At 38.1% G+C, this 12,137-nt stretch overlaps 1 protein-coding gene across 11 annotated transcripts in view; it reads right to left on the reverse strand.

Moving 5' to 3' along the window:
• Window positions 1-12,137, reverse strand: part of PIEZO2 (piezo type mechanosensitive ion channel component 2) — a 479,323-nt gene that overhangs the window by 298,067 nt on the left and 169,119 nt on the right. For all 11 annotated transcript variants that reach the window (XM_047437735.1, XM_017025918.3, XM_047437736.1 and 8 more), the window contains exon 3: window positions 11,222-11,347. In XM_047437735.1, the coding sequence (XP_047293691.1) occupies window positions 11,222-11,347 (126 nt within the window). The remainder of the gene's footprint in view (window positions 1-11,221; window positions 11,348-12,137) is intronic.

Raw genomic sequence — 12,137 nt, forward strand, 5'->3', positions numbered from 1 at the left:
TATTTTAATACCAGTACCATGCTGTTTTGATGACTATGGTCTTATAGTATAGTTTGAAGTCAGGTAATGTGATGCCTCCAGATTTGTTCTTTTTGGTTAGTCTTGCTTTCGCTATGTGGACACTTTTTTGGTTCCATATGAATTTTAGGAATATTTTCTAGCTGTGTGAAGAATGATGGTGGTATGTTGATGGGAAGTGCTAGACTTCAGCAATCAAATCTTACTCTCCAGTGTTACTTCTTAACAATAGTTTGGGGTTCTTCAAGAGTTATGTCCATTTATAAAATAAGAGATTATATACTAAATAAAAGTGCAAGGTAAAGAAAAAATATTTAAAACAATAATTATCAATAATGTGATACACATTTGCAAAGAAAATACTTTTTTCAAAAAATAAATGGTAAATCAATATGCAAAACAGTTGTTTATAATGCATTATAATACTTTTACATTAACGTTTGATATAATATTAATGTTTTTTATGCTCATATTCTGCAACATGAATCACCATGAAATGTTTAAATATCTCTCAAGTAAATGTAAGGCATAAATTATATTAGCAACTGCTTTGCCAAGCTTCTAGATGCCTAAATTATATTCTCAATATTCAAAATCAAGAAGAATTGTCCAAATCCAAACTCCTGATTCTAGGAAAAAATGGTTTTTATTTATAAATCCACCTACCTAAGCCCTAAAATATACATCAATTTTGTAAGTCTGAAAAATAACTAAGCTTATGTCATACAAATAATATTTTCTAGAATGTCATTACTATGCTTAGCCCAATTCTGCTGCTTTCAAATGCCTTTGAAATGTCCTTCCATATTCCATAAATTTGGAAACATACAGTTATAGCTTTACATTGTTCGTCTATAATTTTGAGGTTGAGTTTACTTCCATACCACACGGACTTGCGTTAGTGCTTTTATTGTAAATAATTTACACTAGAAATGCTGCATCATGAAGCTGAGGTTAGAGAATTTGTTATTTAAGCAAACCAAATCAATCCCAAATCATTTTAAACTTCCTGCTCTGTGATTTGTCTTACAGCAAGGACTGGTCGGCATGGTGGGGAGCAGACGGGCGTGAGGATCATGACTCCCTGTTACTCATCTAGGGGCTCTTCTGCCCTCACTTCTTATTGAGACCTCCTTGTTAAAGCACAGTCCCACACCTCCTTTTCTTCTCTTTCCTTCCTTGCCACTTCTAACTCTAGCTTTCTCATTTATGGTTTTCTGTCTTAATTTTCCCAAATCCAAATGGAAATCCAAATTTTTTTTTGCGAAGGAAATAAATACCAAGTAACTTAATTGATAAATAGTTTCTAAAGAGAAATAAAACACGTCATTCTAATATTTCTTCATGAATTAAAAAGATGAGAAATGGGAACAACTATCTGAGCAGGATTTGGGGTATGCACCTGTAGGAGAGGAGTGAGGGGACAGAGCTCCTGGCCAAGAGAGGGCATGGGTGCACTTAGCCGCTCTCCTCAATTGTTTACTTGCAGGTCCAGCAGGTGAGGACACCACCGAGAATCGGTCACAAAACAAAGCAAGAGAGTCATCAAATTTTGTCTTTGCCATACCTTTATTTCTCCTTTTTTTGGCTGCTATTAATTCATTTATTCATTCTTCAATTGTTGGGCAGTATGCTATACATCAGCCACTGTGGTCAGTGCTCAGGTTACAAAAAAAAATGAAACATGAGAGGTTCTACCCTTAATTTGATCATATTCTAATGGGAGAACATATAAAATCAGTGATTATCACTCAACATTAAAAGTTTAATGACTGATACTCTGGGTATTTGGGAGCCCAAAGACATCTGACCCCCTCTACCTGGGGGTATTAACTCGGGTTATCTGGAGGAAGTGGCCAGTATTGAAGAATGGACCTGGCAGAGGACTGGCAGAGTACGTAAGGACATTCTTCCAGGGAAATAACATGGGCAAAGGCATGGCCAGGCAATAGAAAGCTTATTGGAATTGGCAACGGGAAGGAGGAGATGAGAACCATGGGGTAGGGAGAAGTACAGAAATACAGCTTTCCTGCAGCTCTTCGCCCGTCTAGATGAGCCCATTGCCCTGCATGCACACGGGTGCCCAGGGCCCCGGCACCCTCCATGGGTGACCCTGGATGCTATCACTACATTTCTTCCTTTTTTTCACAACTTAACTCTTCTGTTTTTGCTAAGTCTCTTTATCTGCAAATGAGTAAAATATCAAGGACTAGCAGGACTATAATGCAGAATCAAGACATTATAAATATGCCTGGAACATAGTGGGAAATTATACATGGAAGATGTTATCTACTGATTTAGAGCAAAACTTAGAACAAAAAAGATGTTTCACACACACACACACACACACACACACACACACACACACACACAGCTGGGTGTGAGATATGGTGAGTCAGGAGAAAGAGGAAGGAAAGGAAGGCTTGTTAGAGTACTTGATCCATGCCAGGAACTCTAGAAATTTTGCCCTATTACGGGATGAGATAAAGGTGATATAAGGTAGGGAAGGAAGCTCTGTGTATGGGCAGAATCAAAATCCCAAATCAAAGATGGGAGCATATCTGCTTTTAGAGAAACATAAATAGGGTTTCACAAGAAACAGATCTATGTTTCAGGTCAGAAAAGCTCTACATTAATCCACAATACGGCAATTTCCACCGATGGGAAGGACAGTTACCAGAACAAGGAAAGTCACTGCCCCTTGATGCTTGGCATTAATCAGGCCCTGGAGACTCCCCATGACCAGACACTGATGCTATCTCACCACTCAGCCATGGAACATTGACCAACAAGCTTGGCAAACAGCAGAGGATAAGGGACTCAAGAGGCATCTGGGAAAATACTGATGTGGCATCAAAGCCATCTTCAAAATTTTGAAAGACTGCTGTGTAGAGAATGGATTAGACTACCTATGTGTAATTCTGGCGACAGCCTCAGGATCTAGAATCTCAGGGCGACACACACTTCAGGGAAGTAAATTTCTGAACACCAAGAGTCATCCAGTACATTCTTGTTATTTACTGTTTTATTTCTATCTTTAGGAAAAACATCTCCAATTTCCTCAGGCTTTAAAAATACAGATAAAAACCATCTTAGACAAGGAGACCTTGGTTATTAACAAGTTGACACAAGGCTGTGACAGGACCCACTTGGAGGAGGTGGTAGGGACGGTGGGTTCAAGGAGGCTGGGAAAACATATCCCCAATGATGAATGCACACCCAGCTCCTCAGCCATGCAGTCCCGACTGTCCCCATGATGCACTCGTAGGGGTGAAGATATTCCTAAAGGCCAATATCATTTACCAAGTCAAGCATATACAGTCACTTCCGGCCATTCATACTTTAACCAGAGTTAGTATATTAGATTAACTATCCTCTCACCCAGCACAGCCTCCAAAATTTATGTATCCTAATCATATCTATTCCTCAAAATCTAATTAACCAAAGTCCAATTCTGCATAAAATTTTCCCCAGCACATGTATGAAGGTGCAGGGTGTACTGGAAAGAGTACAGACTGTGTAGTCCAGGAGACCTAAATTTAATTCTGGCTCTGTTACTCACTAATGAGCAGCCTAAGGCGAGGCACTTTTTGCCTCTGGGACTCACTTTCCCTACCAGTAATACGATAGTGAAAGCCAACACTTTTAAGAGATATGGTAAGAATTAGATAACAATGGCAGCTGGGTGCGGTGGCTCACACCTGTGATCCCAGCACTTTGGGAGGCCGAGGTGGGTAGATCACTTGAGGTCAAGAGTTTGAGATCAGCCTGGCCAACATGGTGAAACCCTATCTCTACTAAAAATACACCCAGCCTGGGTGACAGAGCGAGACTCCGCCTCAAAAAAAAAAAAAAAAAAAGAGAGAGAGAGATAATAGCAGCAGAGTGTTAGTTTAGTTTACATGAAAATGTTAGTTCATTTTCCTCCTAACTCTTCCATCATGTTCCTCTTTCTTCTAAAGTTCTACAATGTAGGAAAGGTAATAAATAGTGAATAATATATTTATTATCTATTCCTCTGAGCTGCAGGTCATGGGAGCAGATGACAAGCTTTCAGGTAGGTGCCGGAATGAGAAGAGGGCCATAAAATATTCGGAAGGCCAGGCCAGGCCCAAGGCTGCAGCTGTGGGGCAGGTGGAGTGAGAGACTGCGGTGGAGAGGTTGCTAAGAAGGTGAAAAATTCTGGAAGAAAAACTCAGGGTCACTAAAGACACACATCACTGATGCTGCCTTCCATCCAGTGCCATTTAGCCCATTTATTTGGGATTCTAACCACATGGAGTAGAGTAGGTACAAACCCCAATATAACAGCATTGGCAAGAAACTGAAAAAGACTATCATAGAGAATGATTTGGTACCATGCAAGTTCTGTAATTTCCAAATTTCATCCATGTGACTGTGCGTAATTTGGAGACAGGATTTGGTTTGGAGTTGCCTCTATTACCTTGTAGCAGTGTATGACCTTGGGCAAGAATTAGGACTTCTCTAATAACAGCAACAACATGAACAACAGCTTGTACTATTTGACCACTTACAATGGGTCAAGCACAGTCCCAAGGGCATGGCCTATATTAACTCGAACCTCACAAAAACCTATGAGATGATAGCTGTTATCTTCCTTTGACAGTTGAGGAAACTGAGGCACACTGGGACTCACTTTCCCCACCAGTAATACGATATGCAACTAGCTCACAGTCACCCAAGATCCTAAATTTTCTCATATATTAAATAGCATAAAAATTGTCATGAAAAATATTTGTCAGGATAAAATGAGATATTCTATTTGAAAACTGCTGCATAAAGTGAGCATCCATATCTATTACTAAAGGTGAATCAAAATATCAACACGGCATTGGCCTAAGGGTTGTTCATACGGGTGGGTGTCATGCAGTGCTACCACTCAGCTCGCCTTCGTGCCTGTGTCTAGCTTTTGGCAGTAAAAACAATGTGTATTCATTACTCCAAGAGCGTTGACTCCATCAGATATTGGGCTACAAAAGTTCTCTTTCAGCAATGCTTCCATCCAGAATCTACTGATCATAAATGTGTCTTTGCTCACTATGGAGAGCAGCAGTCTCCATCTAGGTCGGCATATGTCTCCGTGAGGCAGTGCCTCAATCACCAGGGGTGGAAGAAAACAGCACTTAAGGCAAAGTTCTCCTATACATGATCAGAAGGTATATATATGATCCACATACTTTTCAGATAAATTAGACAATGGATTCCTAATCTTTTGATGCACAGGTGGCCAGAAGTAAAGATATAGCTTGGACCAGTTTTTTAAATTGTTGTATTGAGCGGCAACATCTGCTTTCAGGAAGCTGGCCCGAGGAGAGAAGAAGGCTGTGTGTTGTGCCTGAATGAGTTAGGGAATGGAAAGAGAAGGGGACGGGGCAAGGTGAGGAACCCAAGCCTCCTCACTGATCAGCTATCAGAAGAAAGCAGGCAGCCAAGAGTGGTTTCAAAAAATGACTCAGAACATGCAGGGTGTGAGTTTGCTTTTATATATTTTGTCTCCCATTTCGTACTTATTAGCTCTTTTCTCCAGGGTACTGTCTCAAATATGAAAAATTAACATCAAGAATTTCATTTGTGTGAGAATGGAATTATTTGTATGAGGATGGATCCACCAGGTGATTCTGCAGATCTAGGGTCCATCTCCAATTAGCACAACTAACGAAGCATGGGGTGAAGTTTACAGCTTTGTGTGCCAAGGGATGAGTCAGCACTTGTACTGGCAAGCAGAGTATACACAGCAGTGGCTCACTCTGTAGTCCTCCCCACAGTCGTCGGGATGGGAGGATAAACTGCCAGGCTGGGTCTGTCCCTCAGTCTTCTTGTCGTAGGCCGACGCTTGATACCTTGATTCTTGGCACTGGGAGCCTTGTGTGTTTCAAGGATAGAAGCATGTCAGGAAAAAACATTACTGAGGCCCATCCTAATTTCTTGGTTGGTGGGCTTCTGGACCAAGTTTCATGTGCTTGTAAAAAGAGAAAAGATGAAACTCTAGATGCCCCTCCTCCCACAGGGGGAAAGAGCAATGCATCTGAGGGGGCTAACCTTTGGGGGAAGCTGAATCCAACCAGGAATGCTGCCATTGAAGGAAGCAAAGAAAATATTCAGTTAATTATAAGGACAAATATCCAAGCAAGGGAAAGTCATGGACTAAGTATCAGAAACGCTAATTTTAGCCCTTTGAAAATAGACTTATCCAAAGTCCTAGGAGCCACAGTGGAGGAAACAATCTTACACACACGATGAATAAAGAGCTCCGTAAAGATGGGGGAAGAATGGAAAGCCAGACAGATCCGTGCTCAGACTCCAGCTGAGACATGCAATGGTTTCATGCAACTCATTTGCCCTCTAGAGCCCGTTTCTTCATTGCAATCCCTACCTCAGCACTATCTGCAGGTTGGGCACTGCGTTTATACAGAAAAAGGGCACCCTCTTGGAGAAAAGAGACTACACAAAGGCATAGCCCTCCGTGGCAAGGTTTGGCCAGGAGACCAGCCTCTTGATGTAAATCAGAGGATTTCGCTGCTTCCCGCTGGATGGAGCCTGACGAAGGAATCTCCTGCTCAGCTCCTCCTCAGGCTGGGGCCTGCACACAGAGCACAGGGGTCCAGCTGCACAGCCCTGTCCACCCTGAGGACTTGTTTAGAGAATGAATAGGACAATGCTTGGATACAGAGAGTGCCTAACTTAAAGAACAGCAAAGCTCACCTGGAACAAGAAAGGAAGGAGTCATTAATTGAAAAAGGAATAGAATAATCCCTAGGGTCTCATGGTTCATAGATGCTCTATAAACAGGAGATATTATCATCACAAATTTTCCCTATATAGTTTCTAACTCAAAAGTTTCTTTCAATGAATAGCATGCTTTAAGCACAGCACAAGAATCCAGACTGGCCTTCAAATTTCACTAACATCGCCACACATCTAACACGGAGTCAAACAAACTACGTCTATGTAATCTGTAATGACATAATTGAAACCGGGTTTACATTTATTTAAGTAGCATAGTTTTGGTGGAATGAAAATATTTTAGTAAGCGGCACAACATATGTTTGAGCAAAATTTACATAGGTGTCCCCTGCCCCCATGGACTCCTCACTTACCTATAAGAACACTGTTCTGGAAATGAGGGGAAAAAAAAAAGGCAGAAGGGAGTGTTGTTAAGTTTCAGCTCTGCACAACGGCACCTTTAACAGACCTGCCAACTAGTCAAAATCTAAATAGGGTGGTTTGAAAAAATCTTTATTACTGCCAGTTAATATTCACAGGACTCTGGAGGAACGAGAACTTTCAATGACTCAATATTTATAAATGCTACTGTTGTCCCACCAAAACTTATGTCAGATTCCTAAGAGATGCCGGGACCTTTTGCGATAATGAGGGTGAGGGTATGCATTTTAAATGGGGGAAAGAAGTTGTTAGGAAAACAAAATTTAACACCTATAAATGAGCGCTTGGTGGTCTTGAATTTGAATACTACTTGAATATGATCGACTTGTCTGGGTTTTAATTTTAATTTACCAATGTCTTGAACATACAAAAAACATTCAAAATGTACAACACTGATGACCAAGACAGGTTTTGTCTTTTTATTTGAACTTTTGCTATGTTATCTATGCAGATGCCAAAAAAGGATAAACTTCAAATTTGGGATATCGAAATGACTGAGTTGTGTTTACATCTCTGATGGTATAATCATAACTCTAAATGCTTGAGAAACAATAACATTAGTGAAGTGAAGTCAACTCTAAATTAAAAGTCAGTGTTTCCATTACCCACACTAACAGTATTTTCAGTTTATATAACTTGATCATTAAAAAGTGCTCTGGGCTGAAAACCTGGTCTGTGTCAATCTTGGACTAAATTAGTTTGCAAAGCTCTGAAGTTTGTTTGTTCTTCTCTTTTATCCTTTTTCAAGAATGTATTAATTTTAAATGCTACACATAAAACTAAACCAAAAAAATCTACAACACCTGATGAGCCAATGCGATTACAGGCATCACTAGTTTTTCAGAAGAAATTTATGATTTCTATAAACCCACCTTCAAGTTTCCTATGGCTGGAAGTAAAACACTCAAGTTTTTCTTTTTTCACTCAATCTTTCACATATCCCTTCTCTATTGGTTACTTCATCAAAAATACTGGAACTTGAAATTGGAACTATAACCTTTTGCAGAAATAAACTTCAAATTGGAATTTAACTTTATGGAAATAAAGTTTACTGTTATGACTTCTATTAAATTGACTCATAACAGAGTAGAGCTTTCATCTGGGGATAGCAAAAAAAAGGAAAGGGAAGATGTTATGTTAGATGCTGACATGTTCAAACTGTATTGCAGTATAGGATGACTGCAGAGGGCATTTGTGTATGAATAAAAACTGTCTTTGACAGAGACTTGGAAATATCAAAGCCCATATATTTAGGAGCGAGGTTAGGAGAGGCAGACCTAGCTCCTTAATACTGGTTGGGCAAGGAAGGCCTGGAAAGAGGCAGGTCAAGAGGCCAGCTGTGACTACACTTGAGATGACTACCTCCCTTCACCATCACCTCCCTTCACCACTCCCTTCTTCATGGTACTAGTAGAGGTCCCACCTGAAGTGTCCAGGTATTGTGACTTTTTGCCTGGGAAGAAGGAGCCAAAGCAAGAACAAATATGTGTGTGTGTGTGTGTGTGTGTGTGTGTGTGTGTATGTAAGCTTGCCTGTCTGTCTATACTCTGTGGAGGAGAACACAGAGTAACTACAGTTATAAATGCAGAGAAAAGAATGTTGCTTTAGGATTTCATATCATATTTTTATTTTGACATTTGTAGAATTATGGAAAATCATCAATTTGAACTAGAAACACTTAGACTCTTGTGAGTCAGAAGAGATCATAAATTTCACTTCCACCCTCCAGCCACCTTCCTATATTACTCAGCAACCTAAATTTTTTTGCAGACATGAATAAGTTACATATATATATATATATATAAACTCAAAATTTAAAAATCTGATAAGTTGTGATGCATCCTATAATGAAATATTTCTAATGATGAAGAACTCATCATTTTTGAAAAAGCCTTTTATCTGGATAACACCTTTAGTTATAAGATTCTTCCTTATGGTCCTGAGAGTACCTTATTAAGAAATATCCAAATGATTTTTGGTTAATAAGCACTGTATCATATAAGATAATACTACTACTAACATTATTGTTGCTAACATTTCTATTAAGTCCCAAAAGATGTGAACCTGGTGAAATATAATAAATGCTCTTTATCAAGATAACATAACCAAAGTACCCTTATTTAAACACTGTGTTTCATCAAGATTTTAATAATGGGATAACATGTGGTTTTTAATCAAACATTAAAATCGCATTTTAACAATTGAATATTATACAGCCAAGAAAAGGGTTAAAGTATTGATACATGCTACAACATTGACAAATCTTGAAAACTTTATGCTAAATTAAGGAAGTCATATACAAAAGTCATAGACTGTATAATTGCATATAGACAAAATGTCCTGAATAGACAAATCTAATACAGACAGAAAGTAGGTTAGTGGTTGCCTAGAGATGGCTGGGAAGGGAATGAGAAATAATTATTCATGGGCATGGAGTTTCCTTTGGGGGTGATGATAGTGCTTTGGAATTAGACAGTGGTGATAGCTGCACAACCTTTGAATATACTAAAAACTGCTGAACTGTGGCCAGGTGTGGTGGCTCACGCCTGTAATCCCAGCACTTTGGGAGGCCGAGGCAGGCGGATCACGAGGTCAGGAGATCGAGACCATACTGGCTAACACGGTGAAACAGTGTCTCTACTAAAAAACACAAAAAATAAAATAAAATAAATAGCTGGGCATGGTGGCAGGCACCTGTAGTCCCAGCTACTCAGGAGGCTGAGGCAGGAGAATGGTGTGAACCCGGGAGGCAGAGCTTGCAGTGAGCTGAGATTGTGCCACTGCACTCCAGCCTGGGTGACAGAGTGAGACTCCATCTCAAAAAAAAAACAAAAACAAAAACAACAAAAAAACTGCTGAACTGTATATTTTAAATGGGTGAATTTTATGGTGTGTGAATTATATTTCAATTTTTAGAAAACAACATACCTTAAAAATAGATCTTAAAAAATCGTCTTGATAGGCATTGTTATCAAAGGAACTCTGAAATCAATAAAATGGCTGGATTGAACACTAACTTTAGCTCTCTATCTAACAGTTATGCAGTGAGGGATAATAGTTTATGTATATAAATTTTACTAAAGGATTCCTCACTGTATTTAAATTAATACTGTTTGATCCACGAAGAATTTTGATTTCCTTTTTACTTTACAGGGAAAAGCAAGTTTGCTTGTACTTGTGCTTCTGAAAGGCCAGGAAATTTCAAACCCACAAATGGGTTCCTCAAAGAAAAACTGACAAGTTAAAACTGTTATTACAGTCTATTTCAAATATCTCAGGGTTTCTTTAGTTTAACTGAAAACATATGAATTGCTTTCACCTACTTGACTGCTTCTGTTTTTTCAAGTAACAATCACACATCCTACAAAAACTGAAGTATGATTTATTCAATGACAGGTAAATTTTCAAATGATAATACTATCTAGATAAAACATGTATACTGACTCTTTCAGATCATAACTTCAAAATATAAGGGGCTTAAGAGATACTGTTTCCCTATAAATACTAATAAAAAAAACCTTCCAATTCAGAAAAGAAACTACATGTGTCATTACATTTTTCCCATAAAAACATGAGAAATTTTAACATTGTTCTTTGTAATAGGATTAATGTCATAGTCATGTAATTTCATATAATATTATTCAACTTTTATATTCTATTCATCATGTTAGAAATTGTACCTTTTTTTTTTTTTACTCGCTGTAATGAAAGCTCCAAGGGCTGTCTGTAACTCTTGAATTTTAGGTTAAGCTCAATGAAAATGTCTTACATGCAGATAGGAGGTGATCTCCAATACATGCTGAAGAGTCATTCATAAACTTAATCTCATGATCCAATCTTCCATGGCAAAGCTTCTTTATATATATTTACACTGCATTGCCAAAGACCAAAAATTTCCATGAATTTTATAATTTAATTATTGCATAGATTTCTATGTGTGCGATGACACACAGCTTTATTATGCACGTATATAAAAGAAATAAAAGAAAACAATAAAAGAAAACACCATAATACTCACAGTTGTAGCCAGGTGCAATACGATGTTGAGCTTCAAGGCTCACCAACGTGATGTGGAAAATGATGTGCAGCAACAGGAAGGAAAGACTGATGAAGCACAGAGACTTTAATAACCGTCCCGTATGTCCTAAGGGATAAAAAGTGCAGAGATTGTGAGAGAGCTTAAGATGAAACACACTGGTGCTGTCTCTTGTACATATTTCTGTATAACCTATTAGATAGACCGACTCAAAAGTATATGGAATGTAATAATTATCATCTTAATTATTAGTCTATAGCTAAATGGTATCTTATTCCCTTTGTAACATCAAATATTTGGGTTTATATTTATTAAAAATTCACTGTAAAAGAAGGATAATTTCCTATTTATCATATGACACATTACAGTGGAACTACAAAAAGGTCCTGGACCAAAACATTTTACAAGGAAGTGCTGCCAACTTTGAAGGGACAGATAACTCCTGTCTTAGAAAAATAATTCTAGGAAGTACAAAAGGAAGAAAAGTTATCTAAAACATTTTATGAAGTCACAATAACTTTAATTTCAAAATCAAATAAGGCTAGAAAAGAAAATTATAACCCCATGTTACTCATAACATAGATATGAATTATTTTTTTTAAATGTGTTAACCAACTGAAATAGCATAGAAAAAATATAATACATAGGTTAAGGTTTATTATAGAAAAACCCTAAAAGTATAGTTAACATTAACAAATCAATAAGTATAATTCACACACTAGTGGGTTGCTATCATGGTTTTCTCAATTGGCACCAAAGAAATGTTTCATAAAGTTCAAAACCTAGTTATAATTTTTAAAAACATAAAAAAAAAGGAATGGAAGGAAACATCCTTAAAGGATTTATAATAAAGCAAACATCCTGTTTATAGTGGAATTTTAGACTTAGTCCCACCAGT

The sequence above is a fragment of the Homo sapiens genome, chromosome 18, assembly GCF_000001405.40.
Source record: "Homo sapiens chromosome 18, GRCh38.p14 Primary Assembly".
Classification (NCBI taxonomy): domain Eukaryota; kingdom Metazoa; phylum Chordata; class Mammalia; order Primates; family Hominidae; genus Homo; species Homo sapiens.